The sequence below is a fragment of the Homo sapiens genome, chromosome 20, assembly GCF_000001405.40.
Source record: "Homo sapiens chromosome 20, GRCh38.p14 Primary Assembly".
Taxonomy (NCBI): Eukaryota; Metazoa; Chordata; class Mammalia; order Primates; family Hominidae; genus Homo; species Homo sapiens.
The window spans coordinates 44,392,844-44,415,116 of NC_000020.11; the positions used below are offsets into that span (position 1 = coordinate 44,392,844).

The 22,273-nt window shown below is 51.9% G+C and overlaps 1 protein-coding gene, 1 long non-coding RNA gene and 1 other non-coding gene across 18 annotated transcripts in view; 2 read left to right on the forward strand and 1 right to left on the reverse strand.

Annotated features, from left to right (window-relative positions):
- Positions 1-2,863, reverse strand: part of HNF4A-AS1 (HNF4A antisense RNA 1) — a 38,963-nt gene extending 36,100 nt beyond the window's left edge. For 2 of the 3 annotated variants that reach the window (NR_172878.1, NR_172879.1), the window contains exon 1: positions 2,610-2,819. This is a non-coding gene — a long non-coding RNA (HNF4A antisense RNA 1). Of the gene's footprint in view, positions 1-2,609 lie in introns of all 3 variants that reach the window. The other variant, NR_109949.1, reaches the window with a different exon arrangement.
- Positions 1-22,273, forward strand: part of HNF4A (hepatocyte nuclear factor 4 alpha) — a 78,898-nt gene that overhangs the window by 37,145 nt on the left and 19,480 nt on the right. For 6 of the 14 annotated variants that reach the window (NM_001287182.2, NM_001030003.3, NM_001287183.2 and 3 more), the window contains 4 exons: positions 13,215-13,389; positions 14,538-14,632; positions 20,851-20,957; positions 21,664-21,819. In NM_001287182.2, the coding sequence (NP_001274111.1) occupies positions 13,215-13,389; positions 14,538-14,632; positions 20,851-20,957; positions 21,664-21,819 (533 nt within the window). Of the gene's footprint in view, positions 1-7,036; positions 8,645-9,710; positions 9,802-13,214; positions 13,390-14,537; positions 14,633-20,850; positions 20,958-21,663; positions 21,820-22,273 lie in introns of those variants that run through there. The other 8 variants (NM_178849.3, NM_000457.6, NM_178850.3 and 5 more) reach the window with 6 other exon arrangements.
- MIR3646 (microRNA 3646) lies at positions 15,277-15,360 on the forward strand. The gene has a single exon (NR_037419.1). It is a non-coding gene; the product is annotated as a microRNA 3646 (primary transcript).

The window sequence follows — 22,273 nt, forward strand, 5'->3', positions numbered from 1 at the left end:
AAGGCACCCCACTCTGGGCAGGCAGAGCTCCATGGGCACTTCGCTTGGCAAGTGGAACAAGGGCTGGGTTTCCATCCCTACCTGCCCTCTTGGCTGGAGAACCTTTGTGCAGTGAGCAACCTGCACAACTGTACAGGGCAGTAACTCTGATCTGAGCCTCAGGACTTCCAAACACTTCACCTTAGTGACCTGGCAAATCCCTGGGGCCCCTCAGAACAAGAGTATGGGGAGACCAAGGGTGGCTTCTGGGATGTGGGCTCAGCCCTCACTCCCCAAACCAGAGTCTGGGTCAGGCAGGGGCTCCCATCAGCCTTCAGGCCCCACAAGGGCCGGGAAGGCCGCATCTAATTCCCAAGGTCACCCCTGCAGATAAATTCAGGAACATAAACAGGAGGGATGAACATAAACAGGAGGACAGCAACACCCTCAGCCCAGATGTCATAAGCCACCTGGCAGGAGGCAGCCTGCGGAGAAGCTCCACCCACACAGATCCAAGTCCTCCTGGCTTCCTTCCTGATCATTCTCCAGACCATACTCTCTGCCCTACCTCCGGAGCCTTACAGTCAGCATCTCCCACAGTGCCCTGCTCTCTGCCCTTCTCCTGGCCATCTCTCACTGGCATCCCTGGAAGGGAAGGGTAGCCCTGGAGTTAGAGGCACAGACTCTAGAGACAGACTGCCCAAGTTCCAATTCCACTTCTTGTTTCTCATCAGCTGTGTGAGCATGGGTATATGGCTCAACCTCCCTGTGCCTCTGGTGTGTAAAAAATTGGTGAAAACATTGCCTACCTCCCAGAGTGGCTGGGAGGATCAAGGAAGTAACACATGCAAAGCTCCTAAAACAGCTGCATATCCAGTGGCCATGATGATCAATGTGTATATTTTGCTTCATTTCATTTTCATGACAACCCTGGAAGTTAAGTATTATAATTCCCAATTTACAGGTGAAGAAACTGAGGCTCAGAGAGGTGGAGAGAGTCAGGGCAGGGCTCTACATCTTTTTTTGTGATAGGGACTGGGCATCTGTCTTTAATTTTAAAAAATCTTTTTAAAAAATAGACACAGGGTCTCACTATGTTGCCCAGGCTGGTCTCAAACTCTTGGGCTCAAGTAATCCTCCCATCTCAGCCTCCCAAAGTGCTGATGCCTCCAGAGACAGGACGTGGCTGAGATGGATTATAACGTAGTCTCCGGTTTGCAGTGCCTGGCTGCTGGTCATATCCTCACAGGGCCCATGGGACACAGAGCCAGGTGCATTCCCCTGACTTGGGTCTTCCAATGGCTCTCAGGCACCTCTCTGCTTCCAGCCAGCCCTGGGAGGAGGGGGAGAACGGCATGGCAAGGCGTTTGCAGAGCCGTCTTGTTCACCAATGTCTTTCAAGACATTGCCCGGGTCCACAGAGAGCCCACCATTCATTCCCATGCTGGCTGGAGCCCCTGAATACCCGAGGTGACCTTCTGTCCTTGGACAAGTCACTTCCCCCTCTGATCTCCATCTCCCCATCTGTGCAATGAGGGGATGGGGCTGAATCAGTGGTTTTCCAACCCTCAAATAAAATATTAAGACTACATGTAAAAGGGAGTCGCTGGTTGAAGCTGGGCCTGTGGATGCATACCCTTGGCTCCTGGGAGCCTCGGAACCCAGCTTGAAAAACCCCAGCCCACATCCTCCTAAAGATTCTCCTGGCTCTGACACTGCAGAGTTCTAGAACCCCAAGCTCAAAGCTGCCGCTTCCCATCCCTGTTTGGAAAGCTCTCCCCCAGCTGCCTTTATCTCTCTTTGGTAACAGAGCAAATTTGCTCAGGACCCAGCACAGGGGGAACAAGCAGACTGTTGACTCTTGAGCAAAGCCTCTTCTTTGGAGAGCAGCCGAGGTGGCCGTGGGCTATGCGTTGGGAGGCCAGCGGCCTCTTGCATAACCCTGGAGGCCTCCTGCCCACCCAGGCCTTTTCAGGGTTAGGGGTGAGGAAAACCGCAAACTCATGCCCAGTTAATTTTTTAAGGCAAAATCAACAGGCTCAGCAATGATTAGCAGCTGGGTAAGTTGGTCTTAATCAGGCTAAGGACAGGGAGGGAGGAAGGAGGCCCAGGGATGGGGCCCAGTTATCAGTTAACCACATGAATGTTGCTTCCTTCCAAACCCACTGGCCTTCAGCCCCAAGCTCCCTCATCTTCCTCTCGGAAATACTCCTGTGACAAGCCAGTGGCCACCCATCATCGGGTGAACAAGCCAGTGGCCACCCATCATCGGGTGAACAAACACAATGCCACTCATGGTCTGTGATGAAGTAGAAAGTGCTCGTTGTTAAGACAAAGCTCACCCACCACCGCTGCGTGGACTTGAGCAAGTCCCTTTCACCCTCTGAGGCTCCGTGAGGGGCCCCAGGTCTGGGCCCCAAGTCTATGGTTCAGTCTGTGGCCAGCTGCCACTCCCCTGACGGCCTCAGTGTTTCCGTCCACTAAATGGGTGGGTTAGCCAAGGCATCTTTTCCAGTCTTGAAGCTTTGTGGGTGCCTGATTTGATTAAGCCACAGTGGCCTTTGCCGAGTGCAGAGGGTGGTATGAGTGGCATTTTAGGAGCTCAAGGAAGAGAAAGGGAGGGGACCTACCTGGTATCTGCCGTTGGTATCAGCAAGTGTCAGATCCCAGCTCCAGGAAGAGGGCTGTCCTCTCAGATGGGAGGCAGGGGTCCAGTGGGGTGGCTGTGGCTGCAGGGACAGCCTAGCAGAGCCTCTTGGTGGCCCAGACCCCCTGTCCCTGGACCTTGGAAGCCGCTAAAGGAAGCAGCAAGACCAGGCCAGCTGGTGGCTGCCTGGACTGGAGTTTGGTCAGTGGTTGGGGACCTATATTGTGAGATAGTTAGGACTTTGTCCACAAACTGGAATTTGAAATTTCAAAGGGGCAAAACTGAAGGGCCCTACCCCAGAGTAGAGATGGCTCTTGGCTTCTTTCCTCCACGACTTTTGTTCTTTGTCTTGATAAGTCCCAGTTTTCTCTGCACCTCTCCCGGAGTGGTGGGTGGGGAAGAAAAGATAGGAGATAATGGTGTGGTGAGCGCCAAGGGGAAGTGAAGATGCCAAGCAGCCCTGGGGTGGCCAGGCGTGTGGAGGATGCCCCTGCCCCTGCCTATACCCCGGGATAAGGTGCTTTACTTCTCAGGTCCTTGAGTTCCCCTGCAAGACTGAGGCAGTGAAACCACCAGCTCCAGTGCCTTAGAATTCCGAAGTCCTTTCAGGGATTCCAGGAGTCATGATGCAGGCAATGCGTAGAGGGGTGAAGCCCTCAAGCTCTGGAGGCAGACTCGGGTTCAAACAACAGCCCCTCCCTTACGAGCTGTGTGGCTTTGGGCAAGTCACTTCACCTCTCTGAGCCTCAATTTCATCATCTTTAAAATGGGGATGACAATAGCCCCTATCTCAACAGGCAGATAATATGAGAAGGCTAGAAGGTTTTTAGCACCAGGGCTAGCACAAAATTTCTCTGTAAACATTAGACCTTATTATAATGTAAAAGAGAAACAATGTGGTTCGTAGTGGCAGCTCCCTTACCACCGTCCACAGCAGAGGCACAAGCTCCCTACACATGCCTCCCCAACTGCAGGTTGCCCAGGGCAATCCCTTCCCGTCTCAACTGGGTCTCTCTGTGGGCTCTGAGGTCCTCTGCTATCCCCTGGAATCTGCTGCCTCTTGAGCTGGGGCCCGACAGCAAGTGAGCAGAGGTAAAGAACAGCTGCTAAATTGATGGCATTGAGGCTAGTGCTTGTTCATGGCTGGGTGTGTGGTACCTGGAGCTGTCCTGAGCAGGGGTCCTGATTCCAACTGATTATGTGGCCAGTGTGTCATGCAATCAATGACCAATGACAGTGATTGCTACTATTGTACTGTATGCCTACACGTGGTCATTTAATGCTTGAACCATCCCTACAAAGAAGGTATCAACCCAATTTTTCTGATGCTTAAACTAAGGCTGAGAAAAGTAGAAGTTGAGGTCACAGAGTTTGGTACATTGGCACTGCCTGGATTTTAACCTAGATCTATCTGACCCACAAGGTCTGTGGTTTATTCCCCTAAAGAGAGGTCAGGGGAAGAGAGGCTAAGAAGCTTATCTACTCTCTCATTTAATCTTCACGACAAACGACAAGTTAGACCCCTTGTACAGAAGGAGTAACCAAGGCTTCGAAATAAAAACTTGCCTTGTGCAGACAGCTGGCCCTGGGCTTGGAATATAAATAGTCACTGGTATACAGGCACCAGAGACCAATACCCACAGGCTAACACCCACTCAGTCCACAGAAAGAAGCTTAATATTTTTTATAAGCATAGAAATAAAAACCAAACCAATACTGTGACATTTGCTCTGTGACTTCCTGTATTTATTATGTGCTCATATGAAAGCACCTAAGCATTGTCAGGATAATGTTCTTCCTCACTGGAGGGCGTTATGAAGTTGCTTTCTTTTTTCCACTAGTTAAAAAAAAAATCCCTTGGAGGAAGGGAATGAAACTTTTTATAATTGATACATAATAATTGTACATATATATGGAGCACATGTATTTTGATACATGCATACCATGCAAAGTATTTAGGATATCCATCACCTCAAACATTTATCATTTCTTTGTGTTGGGTACATTTCAGATCTTCTCTTCTGGCTATTTTGAAATATAAAGTAAATGATTGTTAACTATAATCGCTCTACTGTGCTATAAGAACTAGATCTTATTCCTTCTATCTCACTTATTTTTGTACCCATGAACCAACGTCTCTTCATCCCCTGAAGAAAACATTCTTTTTTTTTTTTTAGACAGAGTCTTGCTCTGTCACCCAGGTGCAGTGGAACAATCTCGGCTCACTGCAGCTTCCACCTCCCAGGTTCAAGTGATTCTCCTGCCTCAGCCTCCCAAGTAGCCTGGACTGCAGGGGCATGCCACCATGCCTAGCTAATTTTTGATTTTTGTATTTTTAGTAGAGACAGGGTTTCTCCATGTTGGCCAGGCTGGTCTTGAACTCCTGACCTCAGGTGATCTGCCTGCCTCGGCCTCCCAAGATGCTAGGATTACAGGTGTGAGCCCCTGTGCCTGGCCTGAAACTTTCAAGGTCTCAAGACACTGTACATTTAAAGTACCCCAATGTTTTCCTTTTCCACCTCCCGTTCTTTCTCCTTATCTAACATGAAGAACATTGTATTAAATCTGATTTTTAAGGAGTTTTTGTCTGTTATGTGTTAAGGGTTTGTTTGGTACCCCAATGAAAACATTCTGCATTGCAGACCAAAGTGTGCTTATTTCAGGGGCATGGGATCATTGCGTTCTTAGCCATTGTCACAAAATACATGGAGTCATATTTAAAATGTAAAGTTGTAACATACATATGTTTAAAATGGAAATACAAAGCAAAAAGATGGATGTACAATGTCATGTGTATTCAGTTCTCTGTACTTAGTAAATGTAACAAACTTTCTGTCTATTACTGAACTATAGGTGCAAGGACACGTCTCCAGTTACTTTGCATCTGTAATCCACAAAGATTCTGGGCAGCTGTATTATCATAGCTTGGTTTAAATAAACTATGTAGTAACAATGAACAACAAGAACAAAAGAAATAATAGCTTGCCTGAGGTCACAGAGCCAGCAGATCTTATAGGTGGTGCGTCATTTATATGAGGAATGTGTATCTAGGAGATACTGTTTGGCGTTGGCTAAGGGTGGAATGAATCATGTATGTAATAGATTATGCAATTTACAGTGATGAGTGGATAGATTTACTTATGGGGTAGGTTATAATGTGGTGGGATGTGAATCTAGAATGTGCCTCCTAGGCAGTCATGCAGATTGTGCATTTGGTAAGTCAGGTATGTCATGATTCATGTATCTAATAGCTCTTCATTTGCAGTGTCCACCTAGTAGCTCTTGGATATAACGGGTCATGGCTGTGGCATGGTGTGGTTGATCTTGGTTGATCGTAGACCTTATTTAATTGAATCTAAGATGTCATCTATGGAAAAATGCATTGTTATTTTTGTTGCCAATGAAATTCTGACATGACATTGATCACATTCCCCGTTAAGCAATGTGGAACTGTGCCTCAGAGTGGAAGAGGCCATGTATTCCTGGATTGTGTGGGGAGTAGCTGTGCCTGTGGCCTGCCATAGGTGCCAGGCAGGTGGCAGAGGCCTGGGCTCAGCCCTTGGAGGCTCCTCCCGGAGCTGCCCTCCACATCTCTTCTGTGTTTACCCCTTGGTCGGATCTTCTGTTTCTTCCCACCTCTGCACTGCCCCCAAGGCCGGTGGAGCCAGGTCAGATACTCCTGAGGTAGGCATGGGAGGAACCCGCCGGTATTTGGTCTCTTTCAGCCCCTTATCAAGTCTCATAGTGTGGGTTGCAGGGGGCTGCCTCTTGCTCCCTCCCTCAGAGTCTTGTCCTGGCTAACAGAAAACTGAGCCAGGATCATCTTTCTATTTTACAGAGGGAGAAATTGAAGCCCTGAGAAGAGACGATGTAAATAAAGTTATCGGAATAGTGACTGAGCTAGTTCCTAACCCCAGGTCTCCTGACATCAAATCTAGCCTCTCTTGTCCTCCACAACAGTTGCTCCCTCTCCCCTTTCCCTACAGGCAATAGCACTCCCCAGTCATCTCAGCTTCAGAGGTCAGATCAAGTGGACAGAATAAAGCTAAGCAGGGCAGAGAAAGGGCTTCTAGCAGTGGAAAGAACATGAAGATGCCTCCTCATACCACTCGAACACACATGCCCTGACTCCCGATTTGCTCACTCATTAATCCACCCACACATTCACTCATTCACTCACTCATTAATTCACCCACCCATTCACTCATTAATTCACCCACCCATTTGCTCACTTACTCAGTAATTTACCCTCATTCGTTCATTCACTCACTCATTCATGCATTCACTCAACTCACTCATTAATTCTCCCTGTCTCTAATTCACTCACTCCTAATTCACCCACTCATCAATTCCCCCACACACTCACTCATTAATTGGTGCTCCCACTAATTCGCCCACTCTTGCTCACAGGTGTCACCGAGGCCCTCCAACCTGCCCTTCCAGCCAGCAGTGGAGGACAGGCTCCCAGGCCTCCCAAGTCTCAGGCTTTTCTTCCTCTGCCCTCACTCTCTGCCTTCTACATCAAGACTTTACTTCCCCAGATTGATTGGCAGCCCTTGAAAATGTCTGCACAGAAGGCAATGAGGGCTGGAGGGAGTGAGAAGAACAGAGTGCACCATGAGCTTCAGACAGCCAGGACCAGCTGTGTAATTTTCAGGGCCCCGTCCAAAACAAAAATGCACAATCCCTTGTTCAAAAGTCATGATGAATTTTAGGACAACCACAGCAGAGCACTGAACCAGGAACCAGGACTTTCTAAGGGTTGGGTTGCCTGTGACTGCACTGGCGATACCCCCACAAAGCCCACTCTGAAGGTAGGAGACGGGTGGAGAGAAACAGGGGGATGGCAAGGGGGATACGAAACAGGGAGAGGGAGGAGGGGGAAGAGGATGGACGTCTACCAGGCCCCACTTGGTGCTTGATTTATGCCATCTCATTTCCTTCTCAAACCACCCTTTGAAGTTGATTGTACATTTTACAGAAAAGGAAACTGAGGCTCGGAGAGGAGAATCATTTACCCAAGGTCCCAGTTAGTAGACGGTAGGTGCCTGAATGTAAATCCAGGTCTCTGCCTGCTCCGGGAGGGGGTGGGGGTGAGGGAAACAGGAGAATGTGATGGGAAAATCCGAGATGGAGCCAGCCTGGGCCAGAAACACTGGGAGCTGTGGGAGACGGAGAGGGGCAGGGTGGGATCACAGGGAGCAGGAGCGGGGAATTGGAGGTGAATCTGGCCCTCCCAAACTTCCAGTCCATTCTGCTCCCAGGGGAACCGGGAAACTGCGGGGGAACTGGAAGGGAGCTCCCAGAACAAGGATCCAGAAGATTGGCATCTGGGGCCTGGGATTTAGGTTTCTAAATCGTGGGCCATGGGGCAGCCTTATCTCTGCAAAAGCATTGAGGGTAGAAGTCAATGATTTGGGAAGTTATTGAATTAGGGGATCTCGGAGGTAGGCTGTCAGTGCCTGATAGTATCAGTTAGAATGCCTGACTTGGGGTGACAATGGCTTGGAGGGGTGGGTGAGTCAAGGGTCAAATGAGTGCCCGTGAGTCATGATGCCTGCCTTGTACAATTGATAACTGAACATCGGTGAGTTAGGGCCCCAGCAGTTGTAATTAGCACCCCGGGTGTCAGCCAGAAACCAACAAACAGCCAAATCCCTGCAGCCCCGCCCAGCCTATCCACCGGCGGGGGACCGATTAACCATTAACCCCCACCCCTCCCCGGCAGAGCCTCCACCCCTTCACAGAGGCTAGGCCAAGACTCCCAGCAGATCTTCCCAGAGGACGGTTTGAAAGGAAGGCAGAGAGGGCACTGGGAGGAGGCAGTGGGAGGGCGGAGGGCGGGGGCCTTCGGGGTGGGCGCCCAGGGTAGGGCAGGTGGCCGCGGCGTGGAGGCAGGGAGAATGCGACTCTCCAAAACCCTCGTCGACATGGACATGGCCGACTACAGTGCTGCACTGGACCCAGCCTACACCACCCTGGAATTTGAGAATGTGCAGGTGTTGACGATGGGCAATGGTAGGTGGGGGCAGATGTGCCCAGGTGTGCCAGTGGGGGCAGGTGTGCCTGGGTCCAGGAGCAGATCTTTGGCACTCAACTTTGGGGTGGGAGGAGAATGATACAAAATGGTAGGTTGGTCCTACAGGCCAGCACAGGTGTTGCCAAGTGAAGCCCATGTGCCCAGGCACAGTGATCACAGGCATTCTGGGTGAAGGGAGGCCTGCAAGGGCCAATTTCCAGCAAAAGTCGATCCCGGCTATTCCTCCCAGGCCCTTCCAGTCCTCACTGCCTCACAGTGGCTCTGCTTGGCGCTTGGCACAGTGACGTGATGGTGAGCTCCCCCTTGGTGCCCAGCTCCAGCGATTCAGCCCAGCACGGCCCCTTCGTGAACCCCTTGGGCCTAGGTTCAGAGAGACGGCAAGGGATGTTGTATCCCTGGAGATGGTGGTTGGAGACATAACCGCATTTCTCGGTGTCTTTGGGACTTTCCTAGGGAAATGAAATTGGCACTTAGGGAAAATGGAGCTCTCAGGGAAGTTTTGCTAACTACGAAGCCAACTCAGCACTGTGTGTGTTGTGTGTGCGTTCGTGTGTGATAGTGAGTTTCCATGTAGGTTGTATGGGTGGGGTGATGCCTTCAGGAACCCATTTGCATATGTGTGTTCATTTGTCTCTGTGTGTGAGTTCTGGGTCTATTTTCCTTTGTATTCATTGAGTGGGTCTGTGTTTGTGTCTTAGGAGTTGCCCGTGTTGATCTTGCTTATGTATGTAAGTGTGTATGTGTGTGTACTTGTGTCTGTGGATGTTTGTACATGTGTGCTGTGTGTGCGGGTCATAGAGCACATGCGTTTGTGCATGCGGACCTGTTGGAGTGCCCTGTTCTTCCTGCATCTTTATCCTGTATGGGCGTTTTGTCGTGTGCCCATATTTGTACCTGCTGTGTATATATGCAGTTCCCTGTGCTGCGGGCGGGGGTCAGCGGTCTCTGGTGTGCACGACTGCACAGACCCAAATGCAGGACTCTGTTGTTGCCACTCACCAAGTGAGATTCATATCAGCAACATGTCCGTTTGTCTCTGAGCAGATTTTGTTGCCGCTGCGTCTCGCCAGATTGAGGCATCCCCTCCGACATCACTGGAGCATATCTGGAGGGGTGGACAGTTCTCCACAGGGAGGTAGGGGAAAAGAGGAGGCCCGGAAACCCCTCCTGGAGGGAAGAGCCCCATCGGTCCCAGGCCAGCCTCAGAGGAGAGGGGGCAGGCAGCTGGCTGAGGTCAGCCTGCCACCCTGCTTCCTTCTGTGTCTTGGAGCCACTCAGCCAGTATGAGGCTGCAGCTCCAGCTGAGGTCTGGAATCTTGTGGTCAGCTCAGCTAGGGTGAGGAGGCAGCTGCTGGGCACTGCTTGTTGTCAGCTCAGCAGGTGCTCACCTGCCCCTGCCGTCCAGTCACGTGTGACCTTGGGCATGTCACCTCCCCTATCCTGGCTTCTGTATCTTCTACAAAACAGGCTTCATTCCCCCAGGCCTGCTGGCTGGACGGCTTTTAGGCCTGTCTGAGGACCACGCCAGGAGCGCAAGGCAAAAACACACCAGAGATAGCAAACAAGCTGCTGCTGCACTAGGTGGAGTGTTGTGTGGCCCCACGAGGACCACTGCCCTGCCCTGGGCTGCTCCCCGCCCCCATCACTTTTTCCAAGCCCAGGAACTGTGTGCTCCTGAGGCAGAGGCCAAGCCCCTGAACTGGGAGTCCCAAAGACAAGACCACCTCCAGCTCTGGAACCAGAAAGATCTGGGCTCAAATCCGGCATAGATCCTTCCAACCTGTGTGAATGTGGCAAGGCAATTTCCTCTCTGAGCCTCAGTTTCCTCACCTATAAAATGGGAATAAATAATAGTGTCTGTCTCCCAGGGCTGGCCAGAGGATAAATAAGATGAGGTGCCTGGGTGCTTAGCCCTGGTAAAGGGCCTGGCCCCACCATGGGTCATCTCAAGGGCTCTGAGCATCTGTAAGCAGGGTCCCCACATTCCTCACTGGAGTTTGAAGTGGTCTGAATTGGGGTTATGTGAAGTTGTCCTCTGAAGTGTTTTGAGTACATCCTGGGCTGGTGTCTGAAAGGCTCCAAGGATATTTCTCCCCCGTCCTCTCCCCACCCCAATGGAGCAGCAGCCCTGGGTGGCTCCTTGTTCATTAGAGGCCCAGCAGACACCTCAACATGTGTGGCACTGGCTGGAGTAGCCCAGCAAGCCTGGACCATAAACCCATGGCTCTGCTTCACGGGAAGCAGTGCGATGACACCAGGAAGCCACTTTTCCTCTCTAAGCCTCAGTGTCCTCATCTGTGGAATAGAGGTGCTCGGCTGACCTCAGAGGGGAGATGATAGAGCTGACAGCCCCCAGCCCATCCTGCCTCAGAGGTGGGAGCTACTTCCCCAGCCTCCTGCTGAATGGCCAGGAGCTGTGGGGGTCAGCTCTCCCCGGGGGTCGGGGGAGGAGAGGCCGAGGGAGAAAGGGCACCCACGTGGCTTAACAATTATCCCCATCTCCAGGAATAATTCACCAAGTGGAGGGGGCTGCACTCCTGGGGACACCTGGGAGTCTGCGATGGCAGAAATGAGATGCGGCAGTGTCTGCTTGTGCAAGGAGCCTGGAAGTCCTCTGCTCCGAGAGTTTTCCTATGTGGAAAAGTTTTTATTTCATGAACACTGATATAGTGCTTACTATGTGCCAAGCACTTCACATACACATATGAGAATTCACCGAATCCCCATAACGAACCTAGGGGAATATCACGTTCCCCATTTTACAAGTGAGGAAACAAAAGCATAGAGAAGTAAACGAACACAGTCAATGTCACACGGCTAAAAAGTGGGCAAGCTGGAATTGAACCCTGGGCAGAAGGACTTCAGAGGCTGTGCTGTTACCTACAGTGCATGGCCCTCTCTGGGTCTTAACTGGATGCCCCTGAGGAATCCAAGGTTGGATTCAGGATTTCTATGAATACACGTGTGTGTGTGTGTGTCTGTGTATGTGTGTATGTTTGTGCATGTGAGCATGTGTGTGTGGACTGTGTGTATGTGTATGTATATGTGTGGACTGTATGTGTGCACACATTTGTATATGTGTGTGTTGATGTGTTTGTATGTATGCATGTGTGTGGACTATGTGCAAGTGTGTGCAATGTATGTGGACTGTGTGCATGTGTGGACTGTGTGTATGTGTGTGCATGTGTGTGGAGCGTGTGTGTGCTTATGTGTGGACTCTGTGTTCATGTGTGTGTACTGTATGTGTACACATGTGTGTATATATGTGTGTGTGTGCGTGTGTCTGTGTGGTGTGTGGACTGTGTGGTGTGTGTGAACTGTGGTGTGTGTGTGCGTGACTGTGTGGTGTGTGTGCGCGTGTGTGTGACTGCTTGGTGTGTGTGAACTGTGGTGTGTGTGGTGTGTGTGTGCTTGTGTGTGGTGTGTGTGCGTGTGTGGGAACTGTGTGGTGTGTGTGGACTGTGGTGTGTAAGGTGTGTGTGTGCTTGTGTGTGGTGTGTGCGTGTGTGTGGACTGTGTGGTGCGTGTGTGTGCTTGTGTGTGGACTGTGTGGTGCGTGTGTGTGGACTGTGTGGTGCGTGTGTGTGCTTGTGCGTAGCGTGTGTGCGTGTGTGTGGACTGTGTGGCACACACGCTTGCATTTTCCCGGGGGCTGACCCATTGCATTTGTCATCTTCTTCAAAGGGGTCTATCTTTGCTGAAAGATTTGCTGACAAATAAAGGGGGTTCAGCTGCTGCTATTTTTTTAAATTTGGAAACAAATTTTTTAAATTTTTTAAATTTTTTAAATTTGGAAACAGACCAGTCAAACTGCTGCCTTTTATGGTTAGAGAAAATGAGGCCCAGAAGAAATTGAAGCAGGGAAAGCGAAGTTGCCCAAGTTTACAGGCGAGTTAGTGGCAGCATCAGCAGTAGTGCCCAGGACTCCTGGCACCCAGCCCAAGATCCTCTTTCCACCTGCCTCTACGGCCCCCCTCACATTTGTGTAGATGCAGTAGCTTTTGCCTGTGGGATGGGAGGGATGGGAGATGTGTCCAGACCCTCCTAGGAGGCCACATGAGTGTGACTGTTCTCGGCCCAAGTCTTTCTCGTTCCTCAGAGAATTTGCGGGGCCCCTGGGCACACAAGCTGAGATCCACCCAGCCCTGGTCCCTTGGCAAGAACTGAGGGACAGGACCTGGTTCTGGGGAAAATGCAGGGGAATGTTTCTCCCTTCCACAGCCCCCTTGCGAGTTAGGAGGCCGGCTCCCACCCCAGAAGGTGGCCAGGTTTTCATGCCTTCCTAGAGAAAGCTGGGGCTCGTGGCCTCCACCACAGGAAGACGCAGACCCTCAGAAACAAGTCTGTGAAGTCACAACCAGCCCCAGTTTACAGATGTGAAACTGAAGCTCCAAAAAGTCAGGAGGTCACTGAGTGGGGAGGTGATGGAGTGGGAACAGCCCCCAGATCTGGCTGAGGCCGAAGCCCTGGAGAGATCCCCGCAAGGCTCCCTTAGATGCCTGACATTCTGTTCTTCCTGAAGCCTCACTCCCTTCTCTCCTGGCGCAGACACGTCCCCATCAGAAGGCACCAACCTCAACGCGCCCAACAGCCTGGGTGTCAGCGCCCTGTGTGCCATCTGCGGGGACCGGGCCACGGGCAAACACTACGGTGCCTCGAGCTGTGACGGCTGCAAGGGCTTCTTCCGGAGGAGCGTGCGGAAGAACCACATGTACTCCTGCAGGTGAGGAGCCTCAATTTCTTCAGCTGGGAAATGGGCACACTTGGGCTCATGGCCCCAAGGTCTGTCTTCTCCCTGAGTGGGTAGGTCCCAGAGACAGCTGCCCTTCAGGGCCTTCAAGGCTCTTCTGGTTTTGTAAAAGACTTTGTGAATCCAAGAAGAGCATCTATTCTAGGAACCACATTTACTGATCATCAAGCTACTGGCTGCCGTTTATTGAGCTCTTATCATATGCCAGGCACAATACTAAGTCTTTGTGTGTATTTACCCATCCCCTTGAGCCCATTGTTGTTTTTCCCATTCCATGGGGCCTCTCCTGAAGCCTCAGTAGATGAGCCCGTCTTCCAGTCTGGTGCTGTTTTTGGGACAAATAGGAGATTGACCCCAGGCCGTTCCACCTACCCCAGGGGCTTCCACCAACCCCAAAGTCTTCCCAAGGCCTTGGAGAGCCCTCTTTCGAAAGCATCTCCTGTTCTGGGTAATGACAATAATAAAATCATAGCAGCTGTCAATTGCGAGCACTTGTCATGTACAAAGACTGTGCCCCATCGGCGCATGACTTCATTTCACCTGTCAACACCCCTGTGAGATGGTTACTGTTGTTATTCCCATTTTATAGAGGAGGAAGCTGTGGCTTGGAGGGCTAGGCATTTGCCCAAGGTCAACCAGCTTGAATCACTGGCAGAGCCAGGGTTAACATTCAGGGCCCCACCCATCACCACGGTGTGGCACTGCCTCTACTTCCTATCCCCCTCCAGAGAGAGGCTTATGTGAACCGAGTATTAACTCTGAGCCATAACCAGGAGCCTGCTATGGGTTCTGAGCTTTTATAGGATGTGGTGGAAATAGCAGGGCTCTGGTACTCCAGAGGTCAAGGTTCCCAACTCAGCTCTAACACCAACCAGCAGAGCGACCCAGGACCACATGTTGCCTCTCTGAGCCTCAGTTTTCCCATGTTTAGCAGGACAGGACTGGGCTCTTAGAGAGTTCATAGCACCTTTCCAGCTCCTGGTGGGTTCAAGAGAGAACTCCCGGGATGAAGAGATGAGAGCACTGAGGTTGGGGGGTCAACTGGATAGCCAGGGCCCTAGTTCTGTCCTAAGAGGAGGAAGTTGTGTCTTCTCCATCCAACCATCCAAAGCCCTCCCCAGATTTAGCCGGCAGTGCGTGGTGGACAAAGACAAGAGGAACCAGTGCCGCTACTGCAGGCTCAAGAAATGCTTCCGGGCTGGCATGAAGAAGGAAGGTGAGCCTCGGCCCTCCCCGCCCCACCACCACTGCCCCACCTGCACCCACAGCTCCCCGACAGTCATTTACAACTGTAGCCACACTTTATGACTCAGTGGCAGGCCCCAGGGTGACTGGCTAATGGCTGAGAAGAGGGAGGGCCTGGAAATCTGACCATAGGGAGCGGCTGGGCTTGGTCTTGAGAAAGATTCAGAGAGATAAGCTCCCACTCTTGGCTCCTCAGGCTCCCAGCAACCACCACCCCTGCCTGCCTGTCTGCGCCACCACAAAGCAGCCACGTTGTGTGTGTGTGTGTGTGTGTGTGTGTGTGTGTGTTTAATATAATATTTCGAACGTTAGGACAAGCATAGAGAATGATATTGCAAACATCTGAGTACTCACTATCCCAACTTTACAAAAGGGACAGCCAGAGGAGCCCGATGCCTGAGCTTCCGGTCCCAGGGACAAATGCCCCAGTTCCCTTAGTATTCATTCGTGGGTATCACGTGATCTCCAAAGTCTTCACATTCTAGAAAATGGGAACAAGACCCCAGACCCATCCTGGACAAAGGAGGAGAAGACCAGAGCACAACATTTATTAAGGTCTTGCCAGGCTTCCTGCTACCAGCAGGTATCAGTCACTGGGCTGTGCTTTTTCCACACTTCAGTAGGTTGGGTTCATTTCATTTTCATGACAACCCTATATGGGAAAATGTTGTGAAAATGAAATGAGCCCAGCCCATTGAACCTATTACAATTCCTCCCTTTTTGTGGATGAAGGAACTGAGGCCCACAATGGTTAAGCAACTTGCCTAGGGCCCCACAACTGATCCTTGGAAGATCTGAAGTCCCAGAGCTTCTGCTATTTGGACCACACTTCAGCACTGTCTATTATTTTATGCTCTCCAGATACCAGGGACATTTAAAATTGTTTTCAGCCCAAGCAAGGGAAGCAAAAATCTTTTAACTGCTTTAAAGTAACTTGAGGCCAGGCGCAGTGAATCAGGCCTGTAATCCCAGCACTTTGGGAGGCCGAGGCAGGCAAATCATTTGAGGTCAAGAGTTCGAGACCATCCTGACCAACATGGTAAAACCCCGTCTCTACTAAAAATACAAAAAAATTAGCTGGGCGTGGTGGTGCATGCCTGTAGTCCTAGCTACTCGGAAGGCTGAGGCAGGAGAATTGCTTGAACCCAAGAGGAGGCGGTTGCAGTGAGCTGAGATCATGCCACTGCACTCCAGACTGGGCAAGACAGCGAGACTCTCTCAAAAAAAATAAAAAAGTAACGAGTTCATTTTCGAATCTCTTCATTTCCTGCTCCTCTAAACTCAACCTTTCCCAGCTCTGCGACTAGTCCCAGACCTTCCCTTCTAGCCCACAGTTGTGCCGTACCAGCCAAACCTTGGTCTAGTCCTGCTAGTTCGGTACAAACACCCCTCACCCCCATCACCCCAGCACACCCCAGAAGCAGGAACGTAGGACCCAGCTTGCTCCAGGGCCCACTGAGAAGGAGGGGAGGGGAGGCTTTGGTAGACTCTCTTTCCCCTGTATCTGCTCCTGGCCCCCTGTTTTCTCTGCCCCCTCCCTTGGAAATATCTTCTATGTCTCATCCTTATGGGACCTTAGTCTGGGCTCATGAGCTGTCTTGGAAAATCTGGGCTTGCTGATCCCGATGCAGGAGTGGGTGGTCCCCAAGGCCTGCTCTGAACGCTGCAATTCTAACATCTAGATATCAGTGGTTCTCCAAGGGCAAGAGGGGCTTTTTAAGCTGCAAATACTCCCTCCTCTCCCAAACCCAGTTTTCAATGGGGTTAAGCCTGTCTCATCCACTTCAACTTCCATTTTGTGGACTGGGAAAGATTATGAATGGGAACCTGATGCATGTGTGAACAGTTGGAGGCAAGAAAAAGATTGAGAACTACAGTCTAAGGTTCCAACATTTCTGTGGTTGTATTAGTCAGTGATTCCATTATCCCAAAAGCCTAAGATTTTAGGCACTATGATTCCTCATAGGTGTCATCCAGAGGGCACTGTGTTTGAGAGAACAGCTCTCTCACAGTGAAAGTTCAGGTCTGTGACAGGCAGATGGGAGAGGGGTTGGCAGCCCTCCTGAGTGGATGGCTACCCACCTCCACTGCGTGTGGCCTGGTCCTGCGTGTGGTCAGTTGTTATAAATGTCTTTTATTAGACATCCAGAGTCATTTTCACTTGTGTAATTTAGGGACATTTCTGTCTCTTCTGGGCTCTAGTTTTCCCATCTATAAAATGAGGACATTGGATAATGAACCCTTCAGCCCTATGAGTCTCGCTCCTCACTCCCTGACCTACCTGCACAAGTCACACTGCCCACTAGGATGGGTGTGTTTGTTCCCTGGTCCCTTCTTTTTTTTTTTTTTTTAGATGGAATTTCGCTCTTGTTGCCCAGGCTGGAGTGCAATGGCAGTATCTCGGCTCACTGCAACCTCCACCTCCTGGGTGTGAGTGATTCTCCTGCCTCAGCCTCCCAAGTAGCTGGGATTACAGGCATGTGCCACCACACCTGGCTAATTTTGTATTTTTAGTAGAGACAGGGTTTCACCATATTGGCCAGGCTGGTCTGGAACCCCTGACCTCAGGTGATCCGCCTCGGCCTCCCAAAGTGCTGGGATTATAGGCATGAGCCACTGCGCCCGGCCCCTGGCCCTTTCTTGAGCTGCTGCAAAGCCAGCAAACCCCTTACTAGGCTCCTGGAAGGGGGATGAGAGCCCCAGACCATTCAGCCTTAGCTCAGCCTTGAAAATAGCTGCTTGCTTCCTGGCCCAGGGAAACGGACATGCTGCCCGGAGGATAGGAGAGTTGGCTGATGGCGAGTGAGCGTGGGTTAGTCGATGCTAGTGTTTGTTTACATGCCTGGGTTACCTGGAAGATCATGACACATGCAGTCACTTGGTTGTTTTGAGAACGGGCCAGAGTGACAAAGTGTTCAGTTGCCACTGTGGTCAAGCCATAGGAAATGAGGGTATTCCTAGCTGTGCCTGTCTTCTAGGCCCCACCACCCCTCCTCAGCCTGCTGGGAAGCTCCCAAAGCCAAAAGAAAGTCTCGGTGGAAGTCTCACTGGCCAGGAGAGTTGGGACAAGTTTTTATTTCTTTTTCTTGATGACCTTAGGAGAATTTGAGGACTGAAACCCTAAAATAGTCCCTGAGAACCAGAAAGTGTGAGCTGGAAAGGTAGGATTTCAAGACCAGCTGAGTCTATAAGAGGTCATCAAATCTACCTGCTCCCCACTTTACAGAAGAGGACACTGAGGCTAGAGAGGTGATGTGACGGGTCAGGGGTGGAGTCAGGTCTAGAACTCAGGCTCCCCAGAGCTGAGCAGACACCAAGCTCCCTGGAGTGAAACTTGCAGTGATCAGCTTGGGAGGCACATTTCTTGATCTAGATGGCTGAAACTTTCTCTCGACCACAGAGAGGGGCTTCAGGTCTCATGGGCCTATAAGTCTCTGCCACAGGATAGTCCACCATGGCTGGAAGGGGCTCCCTGGAAGGCCAAAGAATCCAGGGAGAACCCTGGGGGTCAGTGGGCCAACAGCAGGTCAAGAATTCTTTCCTGCAACCGAAAGCCAGGGAGACAGACACCTGCCTTGGCCTAAGCTGTCAGGCCCAGGACAAATATTCGGCTCCTGGCATCAAAAACCCAGCCCAGAAAGCGGACCCAGAGTTGCAGGAGGTGAGCGTAGGTGATGGGCCAGGGGCCATCTGAAGAGGCCTTCCTCGGAAGCCCCTGCCCTGCTCCCCACAGCCCCCTACCCAGGAGTTCCCTGGGAAGACAGGCTCATCACCTCTCCGCCTCTGCCCAGGTCGGTTAATATTCAATAGAAGTTACATTAGGTCCCCGACCCTGCTAATACTGAGCAAACATTTGGAAAACATCATTCCGTGACTGAGCTCGCGCCGGGCACTGATAACGCCCGCCTAACCTTGAGGAGCCCTATCCGCAGCTGCTGACAGCAGCCCTTTCATTCCGCCCGCCGGCCACTCGGCGCCCTGATGGGTGGGTGCGGGTGCTGGCAGGAGGCTGCCGTGGGAGGGGTGTGGGCGGGTGGGGTGGACGGCCCGGTCAGGGAAGCCGTGCTCTGAGCTGGCCCCGTCCACATGGTGGTCTGAGAGGAGGTTGCTTGCCTCTGGACTTCTGTTCTATCCACTGACTCCCGGGCTCAAGTGCAAAGGATTTGACTTTTATTCTCTGATTTTAACAATGTGTCAACATCAAGAGAAAGTTGAATAGCTGGGGTGTCAATGTTCCCTGGAGAAATAGGGTTCTTATAAGAATTAGAGTTTATGACCAGGTGTGGTGCCTCGCACCTGTAATCCCAGCATTTTGTGAGGCTGAGTGGATCACTTAAAGCCAGGTTTTCGAGACCAGCCTGGGCAACCTAATGAGACCCCGTCTCTCAAAAAAAAAAAAAAATTTAGCCAGGCGTGGTGGCACACGCCTATAATCCCAGCTATTCGGGAGGCTGAGGCAGGAGGATCGCTTGAGCCCAGGAGGTTGAGGCTGCAGTGAGCTATGATTGCACCACTGCAGTCCAGCCTGGGCAACAAAATGAGACCCCATCTCGAAAAAAAAAAAGAAAAAGAATTAGAGCTTGTCTCTTCCAATGCCTTCGTTCTCTCACTGCACAAATATTCATTGAGTACCTACTGTGAACCAGGCCCTGTTCTGGTGGCTGGGACTACAGCAGTGAACTAGAGGGATGGAGTTTTGGCCTTCTGAAGCTTTCCTTCTCAGAGAGAGACAGATAGTAAAGGAAGTAACAAATAATTCTACAATAAGTGACTTGAAGAAAAATAAAGCATGGGGGGCAGGGCCAGGGTGGGAGTCATGTTGTGTTAGACAGGGTGGCTGGAGAGGGTGTCTGAAAGGCGACATTTGTGCAGAGGCAGGAGTGAAATGAAGATGCTGCTGCGCTGTGCAGGAAAGGGAACCCCAGGCAGTGACCACAGCAGCCTACAAGCGTGCGGATGCGTCCAGGTGGGGAGGCGGGTTTTCGCGGACAGAGTGTGTAGGGGGAAGCCGGTAAAAGGTGCGATCCGAGAGGAGAGGAAGGGCCCTGGGGACTTGTGAGGTTGGAAGGCACTGGTTTTGAGCAGCAGGCGACATGACTTGAACGGATCCCTCTGTCTCTGAGAGGAACACAGACTGCAGGCGCAAGGCAGAAGCAGAGCCCAGGAGGAGGCTGATCTAATCCAGGAGAGACAGCGGGCCTGGGAGCAGGGAGGGAGCAGCAGGTCTGTTTGTCAGGATCACGACAGCACTGGGGTGTGAGGGGAAGCCAAGGAAGGTGGCCAGGCTTGATGCCAGTCCCTGAGACGAGAAAGAGTGCAGGGAGCCGGCTGGCAGGGAAATGCCTACGGGTAGGGAAACTGAGCCCCAGAGAGAGGCTGCGATTGCCACCGGCACACAGAGTGGCAGGTTCCAGACAGGAAGCCGGGTCTGGTGCAGCTTCAACCTCCCTCCTTTCTGAATCAGCCAAGCCTCATTCCACAGTGAGGCCTCTTGGACTCCAAGGGCTATCCCATCCACTGTCGGGATGGTGGAAGGATCATCTTCTATCTCAGGCCAGGACTGACCCAGATGGGAGCAGGCAGTGGAGCCTGGGGCCCCGGTGGGCGTAGGCTCCAGATCCCTCAGTGCCTGGAACAGAGCAGCAGTGGGAGGGAGGGAGACAGCGCCTGGCCTTGCTGATGCTGAGGTTAGTCTGGAGTACATGCAGCTCCTGCTGATGGACAAAACCATCAAGGCAGTTGGAGCCCCCAGATCCTCTTGTTCAGGAATCCCCAGGCCATCTCCTTGTCACCCAGAGTAATTTGTTTTGCTTGCTTTACTCACTTTCATTTGGAAAGAAAGGGACCCTTTTGTAGACCAGAGCTTGAACATCTTTAAGCTAGTCAGATCCCCTCCTCAATGCTCAAGACCAATTTTAAACCCATAGCCGAGTCTTCACTGTCTTGCGCGCCCCTGCTGATGGGTGGATCACTCTTATAGCCTCTCCATTGTGTTGGGGGCAGTTGTGATATGTGGAAAGTTCTTCCACCAGCTGAGTTAGAGGCCATCTCCCCTCATTCCACATGCTGATGTGGGCCTGTTCTCTGGACACCCCCCACCTCCTGCTCCCACTCCTCATCAGTCACAGACACCCCCACCCCCTACTCCATCCCTGTTCTCCCTCCTCACCTCTCTGTGCCTCCTCACAGCCGTCCAGAATGAGCGGGACCGGATCAGCACTCGAAGGTCAAGCTATGAGGACAGCAGCCTGCCCTCCATCAATGCGCTCCTGCAGGCGGAGGTCCTGTCCCGACAGGTACCGGGGTGATCCTGCCACCCACCCAGGGATCCCCCACACTACAGAGGAGCTCACCTCCTCCACCTCCATTCTCCCCAGCCAGGCCCTGGAGCAGCTGACGGGAGGGGCCTCAGATATTACAGAAGGGACACTGAGTCCGGTTTCACATGGCCCAGTTTGCAGCAAGGGCAGGAATCGAACCTGGCGCCCTGGGGCACTTTCTAATTCATCCTACTGCCTGCATCCCACAGGCCAAGCAGAGTCTTCACCTTCACTGAGGGCCTGCGATCAGCTCAGCTCCGAGAGAACAGAGCAGTGGCTCAGTGGAGAGAGGTGGCAAAGTGGGGCCCAGCCCTTCCCTTGCTGAGTGACCTTGGGCAAGTCACAGCACCTCTCTGAGCCATGGTTGCCTCATTGTCAGAAAAGGATGATGATTTTTTGCCCTGCTTCTCCTCTAAGGCTGACAGACTCCTTGGGGCTCTAAAGCTGACAGAGGAGGGGGCAGGGGGCAGGTAACAGGTGAAGGCACAGAGGGAGCCCTTCTCCCTCATCCCTGCCTCCTCCCTCCCTCCGTTTTTACCCTGAGCTTCCTTCAGAGCTGGAGGGCACCCACTATCCAGCCCCCTCCCCACATCTGATTCCAGGGAGGGGGCTCTGTGCAGGGGACAGAGAGTGCGGGAGGGCCCGGACATCTCCAGCATTTTCTTCCCTGTATCTCTCGAAGATCACCTCCCCCGTCTCCGGGATCAACGGCGACATTCGGGCGAAGAAGATTGCCAGCATCGCAGATGTGTGTGAGTCCATGAAGGAGCAGCTGCTGGTTCTCGTTGAGTGGGCCAAGTACATCCCAGCTTTCTGCGAGCTCCCCCTGGACGACCAGGTGAGGATGGGCGTGGATGGTGGGCAGTAGTGGGCAGTGGGCGGGGCAGCCAGGGGGCTGCTGGCCCACCTGGGATATAGCCGTGGACTGGCTTGATTTTATTTTATTTAACAAAATATGTAGTGCACACACGTGTCTGAAACTTTAAATCACCTTACAAATATTAACTCAGTTAGCTCCTCCAACAACTCTATGAGGTAGGTACTAAGGTACTATTATTACTGCCATCTCATAGGTGAGGAGATTGGGGCACAGAGAGGTTAAGTAACCTGCTCAAGGTCACATAGCTACTATCCAGCATAGCTGGGATTAGAACCTGGCAGGAAGCTCCAAAGTCCAAGCTCCTGACCATTGTACCTGAGGCTCTCCCAGGGGGATGTTGACAGGGACCCTAGGACAGGGATCAGGAGATTTTGGCTTAAGCTATGGCTCTAAGACTGGTTGTCTGCCTAAT